This window comes from Homo sapiens, chromosome 3, assembly GCF_000001405.40.
Source record: "Homo sapiens chromosome 3, GRCh38.p14 Primary Assembly".
Classification (NCBI taxonomy): Eukaryota; Metazoa; Chordata; class Mammalia; order Primates; family Hominidae; genus Homo; species Homo sapiens.
The window spans coordinates 21170453-21191306 of record NC_000003.12 but is presented as its reverse complement, the minus strand read 5'-3'; the positions used below and the strand labels follow the sequence as shown (position 1 = coordinate 21191306).

Here is a 20854-nt window from a genome sequence, read left to right as displayed (position 1 = left end):
GACCCCATAGATCCTAAATCCTTTCCCCACTCCTCTTTCCATTCCTTGAAGATGGCTTTAAAGACTGCCCCCACCCTAGCTCTCCCTGACTCATCCCAACCCTTTTCATTACACACAGCCGAAGTGCAGGGTTGTGCAGTCGAAATTTTTACAAAAGGAACAGGATCGCGTCCTGTAGCCTTTTTGTCCAAACAACTTGACCTTGCTGTTTTAGGGTGGCCATTGTGTCTCCGTGCAGCAGCTGCTGCCACCCTAATACTTTTAGAGGCCCTTAAAATCAAAAACTATGCTCAACTCACTCTCTACAGCTCTCATAATTTCCAAAATCTAGTTTCTTCCTCACACCTGATGCATATACTTTCTGCTCCCCAGCTCCTTCAGCTATACTCACTCTTTGTTGAGTCCTCCACAATTACCATTGTTCCTGGCCGGGACTTCAATCAGGCCTCCCACATTATTCCGGATACCACACCTGACCCTCATGACTGCATCTCTCTGATCCACCTGATGTTCACCCCATTTCCCTATATGTCTTTCTTTCCTGTTCCTCACCCTGATGACGCTTGATTTATTGATGGCGGTTCCACCAGGCCTAATCACCACACACCAGCAAAGGCAGGCTATGCTATAGTACAAGCCACTAGCCTGCCTCTTAAAACCTCTCATTTCCTTTCCTTCGTGGAAATCTATCCTCAAGGAAATAACTTCTCAGTGTTCCATCTGCTATTCTACTACTGCTCAAGGATTATTCAGGCCCCCTCCCTTCCCTACACATCAAGCTCGGGGATTTGCCCCTGCCCAGGACTGGCAAATTGGCTTTACTCAACATGCCCTGAGTCAGGAAACTAAAATACCTCTTAGTCTAGGTAGACACTTTCACTGGATAGATAGAGGCCTTTCCTACAGGGTCTGAGAAGGCCACCACTGTCATTTCTTCCTTTCTGTCAGACATAATTCCTCAGTTTGGACTTCCCACCTCTATACAGTCTGATAGCAGACTGGCCTTTATTAGTCAAATCAGCCAAGCATTTTTTCAGGCTCTTAGTATTCAGTGAAACCTTTATATCCCTTACAGTCCTCAGTCTTCAGGAAAGGTAGAACAGACTAATGGTCTTTTAAAAACACACCTCACCAAGCTCAGCCACCAACTTAAAAAAGACTAGACAATACTTTTACCACTTTCCCTTCTCAGAATGCAGGACTGTCCTCAGAATGCTGCAAGGTACAGCCCATTTGAGCTCCTGTATAGACGCTCCTTTTTATTAAGCCCCAGTCTCATTCCAGACACCAGACCAACTTGGACTGTGCCCCAAAAAACTTGTCATCCCTACTATTTTCTGTCTAGTCATACTCCTATTCACCGTTCTCAACTACTCATACATGCCCTGCTCTTGTTTACACTGCCGGTTTACACTGTTTCTCCAAGCCATAACAGCTGATATTGGTGCTATCCCCAAACGGCCACTCTTAACTCTTAAAGAAAATAAATAATCTTTTCTGGCAGGACTATGCTGAATTTCCTTAGGCACTCTCTAATTAGATGTCCTGGGTCCTCCCAATTCTTAGTCTTTTAATACCTGTATTTCTCCTTCTCTTATTCCATTTAGTTTTTCAATCCATACAAAACCGTATCCAGGTCATCACCAATAATTCTACACGACAAATGTTTCTTCTAACAACCCCACAATATCACCCCTTACCACAAAATCTTCCTTCAGCTTAATCTCTCCCACTCTAGGTTCCCATGCCACCCCTAATCCCACTCGAAGCAGCCCTGAGAAACATCGCCCATTATCTCTCCATACCATCCCCCAAATTTTCACCGTCCCAACACTTTACCACTATTTCATTTTATTTTTCTTATTAATATAAGAAGACAGGAATGTCAGGCCTCTGAGCCCAAGCTAAGCCATAATATCCCCTGTGACCTGCACGTACACATGCAGATATCTGGTTCCTGCCTTAACTGGTGACATTCCACCACAAAAGAAGTGAAAATGGCCTGTTCCTACCTTAACTGATGACATTGTCTTGTGAAATTCCTTCTCCTGGCTCATCCTGGCTCAAAAGCTCCCCTACTGAGCACGTTGTGACCCCCCCACTCCTGCCTGCCAGAGAACAACCCCCCTTTTGCCTTTACTTACCCAAATCCTATAAAACAGCCCCACCCCTATCTCCCTTTGCTGACTCTCTTTTCGGACTCAGCCCGCCTGCACCCAGGTAAAATAAACAGCCATGTTGCTCACACAAAGCCTGTTTGGTGGTCTCTTCACATGGATGCTAATGAAAGTAATCATATCACCTTTTCTGTGTCTTTTGTGTAAAATCTCCTTCAACCTCCTTTTTATAAGTATACATGAGATTGCACTGTGGATCCACTTGCAACATCCAGGCTAATCTCCCCATCCGAATATTCTTAATCACATCTGCAAAGACTGTTTTCTTAATCATATTAGATAAAATTCCCAGATTCTGGGCAATTAATTTTTTTTTAAGGAGAAAGGAAATTTTTTTTATGCCTACCTCAGGTGTCTTTTTGAAAAAGAAACTGAAGAACTCTTTGACAGAATAAAAGTTTCATGCTGCAGTGCATTCTATTGGTTCCACACTCAGAGTCCTTACCAGGCCAGTGAACCACCACCAGCTGCTGTGAGGGTTAGTTGCTAACTGCTCACAGAGGGCTTCTCCTGTGAAGAATTATCTTCTCCTAATGGGATGCCTCACTCCCAGCCTGAGCCAATGACTGATTCAGGAGAACAAAGGCCAGCTCTGCTGCCCAAATAGGAAAAACTAAAAATGCCAACTTAAATATATCATTCTATTGTAGCAAAATTTTTTATGTAGGAACCAAAATCTGCATCTAGCCAACAGAAATATTATACTCCTAAACACAAAATCTCAAAGGGTACATACTGAATTATAGAATCAAAGTAACACACCTTCTGTTTCTTTGTCTTTGCTACCACTATGCTATGATTGTTTACTTCAAATACGTGGTTCCAGTGAAGGACTACATAGTCCCACAGTGATAGAAACTTTGCCCAAATTTTGTATGACAATTCTATCCTTTACCAACGAACTCTCCAAATTAACACATGTAGTTGATTCTGTATATCTTGGGAGTCACTATCTAAATGGGAATATCTCAAACTAACTTCCATGTAGAATATAATACTTATTAAAGGATAATTTTAAAAAATGGTCAAAATGGAAGCTCATACACATATCACACAGACTCAACAGAAACAAAAACAATTATCTAAATTTAGAACTCAGATCAACCAGAGATTTTTGGGGTGAGAATTATAGATGTATAGCAATAATAAAACTGTTCTTTAGTTTGCCTATATTACCACTTTTAAATTTTTTCAGACAATGCATTCCTTATTGTCTGCCCCCAGAGAAGAACAGTTTTTCCCATCTCCAATCCTATCCTTGATATTAACTGATAGATAATTTTGTTCAAGAAAAAAATGAATCCTAATGACTCTTTTTTTTAGATGGTGTTTCACTCTTGTTGCCCAGGCTGGAGTGCAATGGCGCGATCTCTGCTCACCACAACCTCCGCCTCCTGGGTTCAAGTGATTCTCATGCCTCAGCCTCCCGAGTAACTGGGATTATAGGCATGCACTACCACGCCCGGCTAATTTTGTATTTTTTTTTAGTAGAGATGGGGTTTCTCCATGTTGATCAGGCTAGTCTCGAACTCCTGACCTCAGGTGATCCACCCACCTTGGCCTCCCAAAGTGCTGGGATTACAGGCGTGAGCCACTGCACCTGGCCCCTAATAACTTTTTAATTAAAATACTATGAAAAAACTGTTAGAAGAACATGAAGTAAAACACAATTAAATTTTTTTTACTGCTATAGAATTTCTTAGATCTTTACCATGCAAAAATACATTATAACACTGTAATGAAAACTTTCACAAATTTTTTTTTTAAACACAAAATATTTTCTTGCAGAGCACCTGGAAAGACTAATACTTCAAAGATAACACTTTGGAAAACACAGCTGTAATGAAATTTTCTCCAGTTTAGAAATAATTTTATAAATTTGCTAGTGGCATTAGTATTTAACATTTTTTGAAAGTTATAGTCTAAGTAAAACTAGAAGAAAAGAGAACAAGTAATGAGTTAAACCTAGTGGAAAGAATAATACAAAATTATTACAATGATGTCATCATATTTGTTTTTTAAAGCTTCCAGATGATTAACTATAATAGAATTAACAACAAAGCCTAGTAAAATACCTAATTAAGAAGGTACCTGGCTTCCTATATATCACTAAAGTCCCATTAGAACTTGCAATGTATTGAAATTTCCTAAAATAAAAACCAAGTATATTATATATATATTATAGAAATAACCTATTTTAATGGGGAATGATAACTGGAATTTACATAAACAAAGCCACAACATTTCTATGAGCTATGAAAATTTAAATAAAGAAACAGCATTTTCCTGGATGGAAACACTGAATTTTTAAAAAGATTTTACTTATGCTTAAAATAATTTTGCATTGGCTGCCATCGTATTAAAGACACCAACAAAAAGTTATTTGGATTTTGACAAAATAATTTTAAGTTACTTGGAAGAAATCAGATAAACCATTTTGAAAAGGGGAAATAAAACACTCGCACAGTCACATTATTCTAAAATGTATCATTTTAAAAAGTATAGCAAATAAATGAATGATTTATAGTTATAGCAGATCAGTGAGCTAACATAAGTAGTTCTGATATAGACCAGAGACTATATAAGAATATAATGCATAATATATATGTGATATGATACAAAAAGCATTACAAAACAACACAGCTAAGGAATGGAGATATTCTAATAAAGGCTAGAACACACACTGTCCTGTAAATTCTGATCATCAGACAGATATGTATATAGTTATACGGTAATTTTTATGCACTTGTGCATAGTATAGTTTCTATATATAAGAGAGAGGCTACAGTCAGATTGTTGCAAATATCTTGAGATGGTGGTAAAGGAAAGTGCTAATTTATTAAAGCATATATAATATAGCTATCAGTTTATAGATTTATATATAAATCTATATATCCTTTTACATATCCTCTCTTTCCAAAAACTTTGGAAGATACAACACACACAAACAAACAAACAGTCAGGCCTCTGAGCCAGAACTACGCCATTGTAACCCCTGTGACCTGCACGTATACATCCAGATGGCCTGCAGGAGCCAAGAAATTTGGAGCAGCTGAAGAACCAAAAACGACGTGAAACAGCCAGTTTCTGCCGTAACTGATTAACCAACCTTATGACATTCCACCATTATGACTTGTTCCTGCCCTACCTTAACTGACCAATCGACCTTATGACATTCTTCTCCTGGACAATGGATCTCTTGATCTCCCCACCATGCACCTGGTGACCCCCTCCCCTGCTGACAAAAGATAACCACCTTCAACTGTAACTTTCCACTGCCTACCCAAGTCCTATAAAGCTGCCCCTCTCCTGTCTCTCTTCACTGATTCTCTTTTCGGACTCAGCCCACTTGCACCCAAGTGAATAGACAGCCTTGTTGCTTATACAAAGCCTGTTTAGGTGGTCTTCTATATGGACACGTGTGGCCCAAACAACTTAGATCTTTTCTCCCCATAGCTTTATTGAGGTAGAACTGATAAATTAAAAATATATACATTTAAGGTATACAATGTGATGTTTTTATATGTGTACATATTGTGAAATACTTACCAAATCAAGCTAATTAACAGATCCATTATCTCTCATAGTTACCTTTTTGTTGCTGTTGCAAGAATACTTAAGATCTAGTCTCTAAGCAAATTTCACGTATACATTATTATTAACTATAGCCATCATGCTATACATAATGCTATACATAAGATCTCAGAACTTATCTTTGTTTTTTTTTTAGATGGAGTCTCTCTCTTTCTCACTTAGGCTGGGGTGCAATGGCGTCATCTTGGCTCACTGCAACCTCTGCCTCCTGGGCTCAAGCGATTCTCCTGCCTCAGCCTCCCAAGTAGCTGGGATTACAGGCTCCCACCACTACGCCCAGCTAATTTTTGTATTTTTAGTAGAGATAGAGTTTTGTCATTTTGGCCAGGCTGGTCTCGAACTCCTGAACTCAGGTGATCCAACTGCCTTGGCCTCCCAAAGTGCTAGGATTACAGGCATGAGCCACCGTGCCCAGCCAGAACTTATCTGTCTTATAAGTGAAAGTTAGTGTCCTTCAACCAACATCTCCCCATTTCCCCCACCCCCACAACCTCTGGTAACCACTCCTATTTTCCACTTTTACAGATCCCACACATAAGTGATATCATACAGTATTTGTCTTCCTGTGTCTCATTTATTTCACTTAACATAATTTCTACCAGGTTCATCCATGTTGTCCCAAATAGCATGATTTATATATTTAAAACTAAATAATTTTATATTTTATTTTTTCATTTTATATTTCCTTTATTCATTCATTTGTGGATTAACATGTAGGTTGATTCAACATTTGGCAATTGTCAATAATGCTGCAATGAACATGGAAGCATAGAAATCTATTTGACATACTGATTTCATTTCCTTTGAATATAACACAGAAGTGGGATTGTTGAATGATATGGTAGTTCTTTTTAAAATATTTTGATAAACCTCTATACTGTTTTCCATAATGGTTGTGCCAATTGATGTTTCTACCAACAATGTACAGGGTTTCCATTTTCTCCACATCCTTGCCAATATTTATTTTTTATTTTTCATTATAGCCATCATAGGAAATCTGATAAGATATTTGATTTGCAATGCAAGTACTCTCTCCCTTTCCATAGATTGCCTTTTCATTTTGTAGAATGTTTCCTTTGTTGTGCAGAAATTTTTTAATTCAATGGGGATGCCCTTATGTATTTTTACTTCAATTTCCTGTGATTTTGGAGCTAAGTCCAAAAAATCATTTCCAGGATTAATGTCAAGGAAGATTTTCCTTGTGTTTTCTTCAAGGAGTTTTATGGTTTTAGGTCTCAATTTAAATTTTTAATCTATTTTGTGTTGATTTTTTGTGTATGGTAGAAGATAGGAATCCAGTTTTGTTGTTTTGCATGTGGATAGGCAGTTTTTTCAATACCTTTTATTAAGGAGATTGTCTTTTCCTTATTGTGTATTCTTCATGCTTCTGTTGAAGATTAGTTGATCATATATGTGTAGGTTTATTTTTGGATTTTCTATTCTGTTCCATTAATCTATGTGTCTGCATTTAATGCCAATACCATTCTGTTTTGGTTATCATAGCTTTAAAGTATATTTTGAAGTCAGATAGTGTGATGGTTTCAGCTTTGTTCTTTTTGTTCAAAATTAGCTTGGCTATGTGGGGTCTTTTGTGGATCCACATGCATTTAGGTTTTTTTCTATTTCTGTGAAAAATGATATTGGAATTTTGATAATGATTGCACTGAAATTGTAGATCACTTTGTGTAGTATGGACATTTTGACAATATTTATTCTTCCAATCCATGAACACAAGATATCTTCCAATTTCTTTTACTGATGTTTTATACTTTTCAGTGTATAGAGTTTTCACCTACTTAAATTTATTTCTAAGTAGTATATTCTTTTTGATGTTATTGTAAATAGGATTGTTTTATTAATTTCTTTTTTAGATAGTTCGTTGTTTGTTAGTGTATAGAAATGAAACTGATTTTGTGTGCTCAGTTTATATCCTGCAGCTTTATTGAATTACAACTGAAATTTTGATCTAGCAAAACATACCAAAATAAATCTATAAATTTTTTTTTAATTATTATTATACTTTAAGTTTTGGGGTACATGTGCACAGTGTGCAAGTTAGTTACATATGTATACATGTGCCATGCTGGTGTGCTGCACCCATTAACTCGTCATTTAGCATTAGGTATATCTCCTAAAGCTATCCCTCCCCCCTCTCCCCACCCCACAACAGTCCCCAGAGTGTGATGTTCCCCTTCCTGTGTCCATGTGTTCTCATGGTTCAGTTCCCACCTAAGAGTTAGAACATGTGGTTTTTGGTTTTTTGTCCTTTCAACAGTTTACTGAGAATGATGATTTCCAATTTCATCCATGTCCCTACAAAGGACATGAACTCATCATTTTTTATGGCTGCATAGTATTCCATGGTGTATATGTGCCACATTTTCTTAATCCAGTCTATCATTGTTGGACATTTGGGTTGGTTCCAAGTCTTTGTTTGCTATTGTGAATAGTGCCACAATAAACATACGTGTGCATGTGTCTTTATAGCAGCATGATTTATAGTCCTTTGGGTATATACCCAGTAATGGGATGGCTGGGTCAAATGGTATTTCTAGTTCTAGATCCCTGAGGAATTGCTACACTGACTTCCACAATGGTTGAACTAGTTTACAGTCCCACCAACAGTGTAAAAGTGTTCCTATTTCTCCACATCCTCTCCAACTCCTGCTGTTTCCTGACTTTTTAATGATTGCCATTCTAACTGGTGTGAGATGGTATCTCATTGTGGTTTTGATTTGCATTTCTCTGATGGCCAGTGATGATGAGCATTTTTTCATGTGTTTTTTGGCTGCATAAATGTCTTCAAAATAATAAGAGCTATCTATGACAAACCCACAGCCAAAATCATACTGAGTGGGCAAAAACTGGAAGCATTCCCTTTGAAAACTGGCACAAGACAGGGATGCCCTCTCTCACCACTCCTATTCAACATAGTGTTGGAAGTTCTGGCCAGGGCAATTCGGCAGGAGAAGGAAATAAAGGGTATTCAATTAGGAAAAGAGGAAGTCAAATTTCCCTGTTTCCAGATGACATGATTGTATATCTAGAAAACCCCATTGTCTCAGCCCAAAATCTCTTTAAGCTGATAAGCAACTTCAGCAAAGTCTCAGGATACAAAATCAATGTACAAAAATCACAAGCATTCTTATACACCAATAACAGACAGAGAGCCAAATCATGAGTGAACTCCCATTCACAATTGCTTCAAAGAGAATAAAATAGCTAGGAATCCAACTTACAAGGGACGTGAAGGACCTCTTCAAGGAGAACTACAAACCACTGCTCAATGAAATAAAAGAGGATACAAACAAATGGAAGAACATTCCATGCTCATGGGTAGGAAGAATCAATATCATCAAAATGGCCATACTGCCCAAGGTAATTTATAGATTCAATGCCATCCCCATCAAGGTACCAATGACTTTCTTCACAGAACTGGAAAAAACTACTTTAAAGTTCATATGGAACCAAAAAAGAGCCCGCATTGCCAAGTCAATCCTAAGCCAAAAGAACAAAGCTGGAGGCATCACGCTACCTGACTTCAAACTATACTACAAGGCTACAGTAACCAAAACAGCATGGTACTGGTACCAAAACAGAGATATAGATCAATGGAACAGAACAGAGCCCTCAGAAATAATGCCACGTATCTACAACTATCTGATCTTTGACAAACCTGAGAAAAACAAGCAATGGGGAAAGGATTCTGTATTCAATAAATGGTGCTGGGAAAACTGGCTAGCCATATGTAGAAAGCTGAAACTGGATCCCTTCATTACACAAAAATTAATTCAAGATGGATTAAAGACTTAAACGTTAGACCTAAAACCATAAAAACCCTAGAAGAAAACCTAGGCATTACCATTCAGGACATAGGCATAGGCAAGGACTTCATGTCTAAAACACCAAAACCAATGGCAACAAAAGCCAAAATTGACAAATGGGATCTAATTACACTAAAGAGCTTCTGCACAGCAAAAGAAACTACCATCAGAGTGAACAGGCAACCTACAAAATGGGAGAAAATTTTCGCAACCTACTCATCTGACAAAGGGCTAATATCCAGAATCTACAATGAACTCAAACAAATTTACAAGAAAAAAACAAACAACCCCATCAAAAAGAGGGCGAAGGACATGAACAGACACTTCTCAAAAGAAGACATTTATGCAGCCAAAATCTATAAATTAAAAGATTAACTATAAAATATATTAAAAAGAACTTAAAAATACAAGTAACTAGTAAATGATTATGTCATGGATGAATTTTAAAGATGAAATGAATAAAGAATTTATCTGTAGAATAATTTAAAGATATGTACAAAAGTAAAAAATCGAGTTTAGAAAAAAATATTTTAGAATATACACTGTTAAAAACATATTGTGTTAAATCAGTATCATGAAAACAATAATATGCAAAGGTTTAGAAAGTCAGTTAAAGGAGAAAAGAATATAAATGACTAACAAAAAACTTATTTCCACTTGTAGACAGAGAAATGGAAAAACATAGGAAATACAATGAGATCTCATTTTTCAGCTATCAAATTGACACAGGTTAGAAACAGTAATGATAATCAAAGCTCACTAGGCCCAGTTAAGAATAGCCAACGATGAGAGTGTAAATTGCTAGAGGCGACCTAGAGGGCATTTCAGCAATATATATCAAGAGCTTTCAAAAAGGTTTATGCACATTGATGTAGTAATTTTACTTCAAGGAATCTTTGCTATGAAAATAATATGTGCAGATATAGAAACATCATATGGAAATTTATCCAAGTGGAGGTTTTTTATTCCTTTGTGCGTGTGTGTGTGTGTTTTAGAATAGCAAAATTGTGGAAATATTCCATATTTTCAGAAAGAAAATAATTATGTAAAAGTATATGTTCATCTATGAGATAGATCATTATGCAGCTACTAAAATTATGTAAATGAATATTATTGATATTAGAATATATGAAGAAACATTGCAAGAAAAAGCACACCACGTTTATTTATGCATAAAGAAAAAAGAAAGACACATTATTTTTAAATATTTTAATATTCTTTTACTTTTCTATAATTTCTAAGCTCTGTAGACTGAGCACATAAAAACTTTATTATCAGAAAACAAAAAAAAATATTTTAAGAATAAATAAAAAATTTTCTGTAGTCATATAAAGGAATTTGAAAACCTCAATTTCGAATCAATTCCTTGGATGGTATATTATATTTTCTATCACTAGTCATAGAAAATATAGTCATGTCACCAACATTGGGAAATTGGAAGCTTCTGACTCTCCCTCCACACACAGATACACCAAATAAACATCTATCCATAAATCAACACCCTCTGAGAGAAAATCAGAGAGCAACTGAAGGAATCCTACCCATCGATCCACTGAGCAAACATGCACATTGAGTAGGTAGGAGAAGCCAAGGCACACTTGTGTGGACCCCACCTTGGGCACTGCACCATAAAATTGGGAAATAACTCTCCAACACCTAGTTTCCCTCTGTGGTGAAGGGAGTCTGGGTCTCATACATAGGGCCTAAAGCCCAAGTTTCTCCATGGTTTGACTTTTAACTCACCAACTGTGTGAGCAGAGGGGAGTAGACACATTCATGTCTCTCAAGACTGTAGGAAACGAAGTGGTGTTATTTTTAAGGACATGCAAGGACTTCCAGGGACTTTATTCACCATGGAGTAGTGCAGAGAAGGGATGTATAAAAGACACAACCCTTTGTTTCCCCCAGAAGGGGTTTGTGAAATACCCCTGCAGTGGCTGCAGGTAGCCTGACTTCTAACCAACTTGTATCAGGTAGTTAAAAGAGGTAGTCAACTATTAACCTGGGGCCAGCCAAAGAAAAGTTTACAACCACACCAAACACCCCAACTCTATTAACATCTACCTAACTGACTGAATCATAAATCTCCTAGCTCTGGGAGCAGAAAGGACTGGCATACTCCTGTGTCTCTCTAAACCACAGGTGAAAAAAAAAAAAAAAAGCAGTTACCATCGCTTTGTACAAGTGTGTGTGCTCTTTAAGGTACTACATCCCCTAGGATTGGTGCAAAGAAGAGGCCTAAAAACAACAACAAATAAACAACTCCCTGCTTCTCCCTAGAAGAGATCCAGAACACACTCTGAAGGCCCAGTTGTTAAAGTTGCCTCCTAAACGACTTCCATTCTAAACCTAGTTGCTCTGGGCACAGAGGGACTAGGCATATGTGAATCTCCCTTGATCCCAGAAAAAAGAGGTGGTCTTAAATGGACATCTCCTAACTCTGGGAGCAGAAAGGGCTGGCATATACATGTGTCTCTCTAAACCACAGGTTAAAAAAAAAAGCAGTGACCATGTGGCCATGGCTTTTGTACAAGCATGTAGGCTCTTTAAGGTATTACATCCCCTAGGATTAGGGCAAAGAAGAGGCCTAAAAAACAGCAACAACAAATAACTCCCTGTTTCTCCCTAGAAGAGATCCAGAACACACATGAGAAGCCCCAGTTGTTAAAGCTGCCTCCTAAAACACTCCATTCTAAACCTAGTAGCTCTGGCCTAGGCATATGTGAATCTCCCTTGATCCCAGAACAAAGAGGTGGTCTTAAATGGACATCCAAACACTTCCAGGGCCTATACCCTCTTGAAGTATGCAGAAAAGGGGGTAGGAACATGAAGCTCTCACGTTCTTTCTGGAAGTGGCTCATGACACACATTCTCAGTGGCTAATTGATGGCCTGCGCTCTAACGAACTTGCATCAAGGAGCTAACAGGGAATACAATCAAACAAATAACCAATCTAACTACAGTAGCCAGAGCCAGAGCTTGACACTTCATAAAACCTACCTTCCCCAGCTCACCCAAGAGATAAATCCAGGCATATCCAGTCTTTCTGAAAGGAGTTTGGCCATGCAATAAGCACCACAACTTCCATAGTTTCACCTAAGGAACTGTCTCCTTAATGAAGTATTTCTAGACTTCAAGGGAATATTGCAATCCTGAGTGACCCAAGACCACAGAAAACAAACAGAAGAACATATAACAAGCTCACTTCCAGCATCTATCCTTTCAGAATCAGAAGGTGTAGCCTGAATATGAATACAAGCATTAGCCACAGGTCCTCTTCCCTGGCTTAGTCCAGATAAAGTAGGGAAAAAATGCCCTCATTCATCCTCACTATGAAAATAGAAGTTACTGGAACTCACATCCAACATTCCCAATCTTTCCAGGTACATCTAAAATATGTGACTCCTCTTATATCATTTTAGGGTATGAACAAGATGGGACATATTCTAAGCCCCAGGTAGGCACCAAAAACAAAGATAACAGTCCAGGCCAAAAAAAAAAAAAGAAAGAAATGAAAAAGAAAAAAGATTAAAGAGGCACCTTAAAATCTCTGGAAGGAAAGATTGGTAAAAAACCTTCTTCTAAATAATGCTAGTTTAACAAGATTGAGATAAATTGTTTTCTTATCTAATATATAGAAACCAACACAAAGAAGTGAGTAAAATAAAAAAAGGGAATGTATTTCAAAAAGAAAAAGATAACTCTCTGAAACTGACCTGGAAAACAGAGTTTTGTGATTTACTCAAAAGGAATTCAAAATAATTGTCATAAAGATGCTTACAGAGGTCAAGACAGCATTGCAAGAACAAGTTGAGATCTCAAATGGGAGATAATAAATATTTTTAAATACCAAATAGAAATCATACATCTCAATAATGCTATAAACAAACTGAACAATTTAATAGAGGAGTTCAACAACAGGCTAGATCAAGCAGAAAAAAAGGATCATTAAATGTGAGGACAGACCACTGGAAATCATCGAATTTGAGGAGTTTAAAAAAAGTATAAAAAGGAGTGAAAATGGCTTATGAGACTTATGGGACACTATCAAGCAGAACAATTTATGAATAATTGGCATGCCAGAAATAGGAAAAGGGACAGAAAACAAATTCAAAGAAGTGATTGTAGACAACTTTCCAACTCAGAGGAAAGAATTACAATGCACAATTCAACAAGCCCATGGGACACTAAATAAAATGAACTAAAAGAGATCCTTGGCCAGGAGTGGTGGCTCATGTGTATAATCTCAACACTTTGGGAGGCTGAGGCGGTTGGATCACTTGAGGTCAGAAGTTCTAGACCAGCCTGTCCAACATGGTGAAACCTTGTCTGTACTAAAAATTAAAAAATTAGCCAGGTATGGTGGCAAGAGCCACCTCCACTGGGGAGGCTGAGGCAGGAGAATCGCTTGAGCCGGGGAGGCTGAGGTTGCAGTGAACTGAGATTGCATCACAGCACTCCAGCCTGGGCCACAGAGCGAGACTCAGTATCCAAAAAAAAAAAAAAGAGAGAGATTCTTACCATGACATATCTTCGTCAAATTGTGAAAAATTAAAGACAAAGAGTGTTGAAAGAATCAAGGGAAAAGCGAATCATCATGTAGAGGGAAACCCCCTGTAAGATTATCAGTAGACTTCTCAGAAGAAACCTTGTAAACCAGAAGAATGTGGGTTAATATATTCAAAATCCTGAAAAAAGGAAACTTCCAACCAAGAATAGTATACCCAGCAATTCTGTCTTTCAAAACTGAAGGGACTTATGTTTAGAAGAACAAAAGTTGAGAGAGATTATCACCAGTAGACCTACATTATAAAAACGTTAAAGTAAGTTCTTCAGGCTGTAGGAAGAAAGCACTAATTAATTACATAAAATCATATGAAAATACCAAACTCATTGGTAAAAATTGATACATCATCAAATCCTAAACACTAATACTGTAAGAGCAGTAGTCAAACAATTATATCTCTAGTACAAAGGTCGAAGGGTAAAACTATTAAAATAATGGTACAATAATCTCCTAAGAGATTCATATTATTAAAAGATGTAAAATATGACATTACAAACATAAAACTTCGGAAAAGTGGGCAAAAGTGGGTAGTTTATGTATGCAATCAAAATTAAGCTTTTAATACCTTTATAACATATTATAGGTATAAGATGTTTTATGTAAGCCTCAATGTAACCACAAAGCATAACCTTGTAATATACACAAAAGAGTAAAAAGAAAAAGAACCAAAACACACCCCTATAGAAAGACATCAAACCACAAAGGAAGAAAGCAAGAGAAGAAGAAAGCAGGACAGATCTACAAAACAACCAGTAAAAAATTTTTAAAGTGGCAGAAGTAAGCCAATTCCCATCAATAAAAACCTTGAATAAAAATGAATTAAGTTATCCAATTAAAAGAGTGGCTGAATGAATAAAAAGCTAAGAGCCATCTCTAAGCTGCTCACAGGAGACTCATCTAACATGTAAGAAAAACAGACTGAAAATGAAGAGATAGCAAAAGATATTCCATGCAAATCAAATCCAAAAGAGAGTAAGAGTGGCCATACTTACATCAGATAAAATAGACTTTAAGTCAAAAACTATAAAAAGAGAGAAAGCAGGTGATTATAAAATAATTAAGGAGTCAATTCAGCAAGACTATATAATTGTAAATATATATGCACCCAATTCTAGAATAACCAAATATGTATAGCAAATATTAGTATATCTAAAAGGAGAGATAGACTGCAATGCAATCATAGTTGTGAACTTCAACATCCCACTTTCAGCAATGGACAGATCAACCAGACAGAAAATCAACAAAGAAACATTGGAGTTAAACTATAATCTAGACTGAATGGACCTAAGCAACATGTACACGACATTTTATCTGATAGATGCAAAATACACATTATTTTTATAAGCATGTAGAACATTCTTCAGGATAGAAGACAAAATGTCACATGATAGGTCACAAGAAAGTCTCAACAAATTTTAAAAATTGGAAACATATCAAGCATCTTTCCAGATCACAGTAGAATAAAACTAGAAGTCAATAAAATAAGCTTTAGAAACTATAAAAATATATGGAAATTAAGCAACATGCTTCTGAATGACCAATGTGTCAATGAAGAAATTAAGAAGGAAATTTTTTAAAAATTGAAGCAAATGAAAATGGAAACATAACATACCAAAATCTAAAGGAAGTACTAAGAACAGTACTAAGGAGGAAGTTTATAGCAATAAATGCCTAAATCAAAAAGGTAAAATGATTTCAAATGAACAACTGAACATGGCACCCCAAGGAACTAGAAAAGGAAGAAAAAACAAAAAGTCATAGAAGGAAAGACAAAGATCAGAAATAAATAAAATTGAGACATAAATGCAAAATATCAATGAAATAAAAAGGTTTTTTTTAAAAACAAACAAACAAACAAACAAACAAAATCCAGAAACCTTTAGCTAGAGTAACTAAGAAAAATAGAAGAGCCAAATAAATAAAATCAGAGAGAAAAAAGGAAACTTTAAAACTGATGCTACAGAAATACAAAGGATCATTAGAGCAACCTTACACCAACAAATGGGAAAACACAGAAGAAACTGATAAAATCCTGGACACACACAACCTACCAAGAGTGAACCATGAAGAGATAGAAAACCTAAACAGACAAATAACAAGAAATAAGATTAAATCGGTAATTTTAAAAACTCCCCAAAAGAAAAACCTAGGAACAGATGCCTTTGTAACTGAATTCTGCCAAGCTTTTAAAGAATTAACACTAATTCTTCTCAAACTGTTCCAAAAAATTGAAGGAAAAGTAATTCTTCCAAATGCATTCTATGAGGCCAGCATTATTCTGATACAAAAGCCAGACAAGGACACAAGAAAAAACAAAAACAATGAAAAAAAACTACGGGTCAATATTTCTAATAAAAAAGATGCAAAAATGTTCAACAAAATACTAGCATACTGAATCCAACAGTACATCCAAAAGATTAGTCACTGTGATTAAGTAAAATTTAATCCCAGGAATGACGTTATTCACAGAAACAAAAGATAGTTAAAATGTGCATGAAACCACAGCAGACTTCAAATAATCAAAGCAATTCTGAGCAAAGAGAACAAAGCTGAAGGCGTCACATTATCTGGCTTCAAAATATATTACAAAGCTGTAGTAAAAAAAAAAAAAACAGTACCATATTGGCATGAAAACAGAATAGAGAACCCAGAAGTAAATCCACATATTTACTGCCAACTGATTTTCACTAAATGTGCCAAGATCACACATTTGGGAAAGAACAGTCCTTCCAATAAATGTTAATGGAAAAACTGGATATCCGTATGCAGAAAAATTGAATGAGACCCCTATCTTTCATGATAACAAAAATCAAAGCAAAATTTATTAAAGACTTAAATATAAAACCAAAAACAATAAAACTATTAGAAAAAAGTCATATGGAAAATGTTTCAGGACATTAGTCTGGGCAAAGGATTTTTGGGTAGGAACTCAGAAACAGACAAGAAAAGCTAAAATAGACAAATGGGATTACATCAAACTAAAAAACTTCTGCACAGCAAAGGAAACAATCAAAAGAGTGAAGAATCAACTGAAAGAATGGGAGAAAATATTTGCAAGCTATCCATCTGACAAGGATAAACATCCAGTATATATAAAGAACTCAAGCAACTCAACAGCAAAACAACAAATAATCTCATATAAAAATAGGCACATGATCTGAATAGACATTTCTCAAAATAAGACATACAAATGGCCAAGTATATGAAAAAATGCTCAACATCACTAATCATTAAAGAAATGTAAATCAAAACCACAATGAGATATTATCTCACCAGTTAAAATAATTATTATCAAAAGGACAAAAATGCTGGTGAGAGTGTGAAAAAGCAGAACACTTATATGCTATTAATGGGAATGTAAATTAGTACAGCCATTATGGAAAACAGTATGAAGTTTTCTCAAAAAACTAAACATAGAACTACTATATGATCCAGCAATCTCACTACTGGGTACATATCCAAAGGAAAAGAAATCAGTATATCAAAGAGTTATCTGCATTGCCATGTTTATCACAATAGTATTCACAATATCTATGAAATAGAGTGAACCTAAGTGTCCGTTGTCAGAAGAATGGATTAAGAAAATGTAGTATATATAAACAATGGAATATTATTCAGCCGTAAAAATAATAAAATCCTGCCTTTTGCAGCACCATGGATTAGCCTGGAGGACATTATGTCATGTAATATAAGCCAGGCACAGAAAGACAAATATCACACATTCTCACCCATATGTGGGAACTATAAAAGTAGATCTCATAGAAGTAGAGATTAGAATAGTAGTTACCAGATGTTGGGAAGGGAAGGAGGAAGTATGGATATTGGGTACAAAATTACAGTTAGATAGGAATAATAAGTAACAGTGTTCTACAGCACAGGCAGGTAACCACAGTTTACAATAATTTATTGTATATTTCAAAGTATCTAGAAGAGAGGGTTTTGTATGTTCCCAACACAAAGAAATGATAAATGTTTCAGGTGATGGATGTAACTGACCTAATTTGATTATTACATATTGTACACATGTATCATAATATCACATATACCCCATAAATACATACAATTATAGTGTATCAGCTTAACATTTTTAAAAGGACAAAACAACCCCCCCAAAGCAAACAGAAAACAGACAACTAATAAACAACATAAAATCCAAAAAGTAAACAGAAATCTTCATTATATAAAAGTGATTTTTAAGAAACAGAATTATAATCAATTTATACATAAAACATTTAACCAAACTATATTCTGGCTTAATGATTGAAACATTGCCTCAGAGATCTAGTGTCATATTAGGGCATTATTTTACAAATAGAAGCTTTGAGTTTTGCCAATCTGAATTTAAAATGTCATCTTCATTAACATCACCTACAAACGTCATTTATCCCTGCCAAGGTTGGTAATGATACGCTAAATACTGATTGAGAAATATGATTGACGTCTTTTTGTTGCTATAATCCAAAATTAGTTCAAGGAAGCTAAGTGTATATATAAGGCTTTTTTTCATATTTTAGCAATTACCTTTTTTCAATATATCTTACAATTGTAAGATATTTCCTGACTAGAGCATTAGGTTATATGGAAACAAAAAAGGCAAGAACTTGACAAATTCCAAGAGGCACACTGTTTCATTGCTTGAAACACACTCCTGATTTATTTGCATTGCAATAGCTAAACCCATCTTTACCCATAACCTTAATTACCACAGTCATTCATTCTATAACGGCTCTTATTTCCCTGAGTTCTTTTCTCCTTCCAGATTCCAATTTGTAATGTTACCTCCATAAGGATTCATTATCTGGCATTCTGCACCCTGGCAGAGGGAATTTCTCTCTTCAAACTCCACTCTTCGTGCATTTATAAGTCTCTAGGCACTCTTGCCTGAAATATATCATGGCAGTCCTGTCTTTATGAGGTGGGTAGCTTCCACACACACACACACACAAAATCGTTTTCTATGAAGAAGAGTTAAGCCAAAGGTATTCTTTTTTACAGTGAATGTAGATTTCCCATTAAAAGATAATCTTTCATTTCAAATGTTTTAATATGATGGTCCTGAATACAGTCATCACTGATAATTACATTTTAGGTGCTCCAAAACTAATATGTGTTTACCATAAATTTCATTATTCATTGGATACTTTCATATTAATTTTTAAAAATTTTCCTTTCATATTTCAAAACCTGGGGGCTATCTAGACTTATCCCTAATTAAGCTTGGAGCAGTTACTGAAGGATGGAGTATCCAAATGGCACCCAAAGCTATCCTTTCTCTTTCTGCTATAGAAGTTCTGATACAGATCCTGTCCTTCTAGTGGTTTATTGAAGCCTCCCAATCACATGATCTTCCTGCCCACACTAATAGCAGCATTTTTCAAAAATATACACCTGATTACATCATATTCATATGAAAAAAGTCCTTTAATAGTTGCTATGTTAATCAGAAGAAAGCCCACTAGCTGCAGTAACAAAGAAAATTTTTTAAAAAAGTCAATAGTATCACAGAATAAAAGTTGATTTCTCACTTGTATGTTCATCTAATGTAGGTGTTCTTGGTTTCCAGGCTGGAGGTTCTGATGCCCAGTAATTCAGTAACTCAGGTTGCTGGAGACTCTGACATCTACATATGTCTTCCAAGGTTGCCCTGGATGTCATTATTCAAACAGGAGATAAGAAGCAATGGAGAAGACTAATTGTTTTTTACCACCTTGATCTGGGAATGACACATAATTCAGCTGCTTGCATTCAATAAGTGAACACCAGTTATCATCTAGATTTGCTAGAAACTGGAGTATGTAATCCCTGGCTGGGAAGAAATCTTTGGTGGGACCCCAAATCTTTGGTGGTCAATTTGTTTTCTTTGATATAATTCCCACGGCTAAATTTCTCAGTAAGGAATGCAAGGTCCTGATCTACCCCTTTGCTAATATTCCAGCCTCAATGCTCAATGCTTCCTCTTTGCAGACCATACAGTTTAGCACCCCCTAAAGGTGCAGTTCCAGGATTTCAGTGTTAAGCCCACAAAGCTATTTCCTTGCCTGCATTTCTCTGTTATTGATAGTTTTCTGAATCCCAAAGGCAGCTCTCAAACTGGGAAGTTCTCAAACTCATTTTTGTGTAGTAACTAATATGTATAACATATTTGATACTTAGCTGTTGCATGTCTGAGTCTCCTACTCCATAGTGACCTCCTTAAGATCAGGGATCACTTATGTTATTGAGCTTTAGAGCAAAGAAATGCTCATTTGACTAACACATGTATTTAAAATGTCTAACATATGTCTGAGTATATAATATATGTTTATTAAATATTTGTGGAATAAATGAATATACAAAGTTTGGATTACTGACACCTATCAGTGATGACAATAGATTCAAAGAATATATGTGGAAAGAAGAGAGCAAAAGGTAGAAGAAAACAAAGGAAGGGAGGGGAGGGAAACATGCTGGGTTGTTCAACAGAACGTCTCTATTTCAAAGGTCATATTTAGTAATATTTTGGTTTGAAGTCATAACTAATACCATTATTTAAGTAAAATAGCAAATAAGCCCACATCACAGTCAGAGACTTCTCTATGATTAGGGAGGGCAATGATTTTCTTAATGTAGGTTGTTAGAGAGACTTCTCATTTACATTCAGCCCTAGCTAACTTTGAAATTCTAAGCCTCAGTAAATATTATCTAGGGGAAAA

The 20854-nt window shown here is 36.0% G+C and overlaps 1 long non-coding RNA gene across 1 annotated transcript in view; it reads right to left on the bottom strand.

The window, feature by feature from the left end:
• LOC105376988 (uncharacterized) overlaps positions 1 to 20854 on the bottom strand; it is a 52487-nt gene that overhangs the window by 30258 nt on the left and 1375 nt on the right. The window contains exon 2 of the long non-coding RNA XR_940646.3: positions 19688 to 19806. This is a non-coding gene — a long non-coding RNA (uncharacterized LOC105376988). The remainder of the gene's footprint in view (positions 1 to 19687; positions 19807 to 20854) is intronic.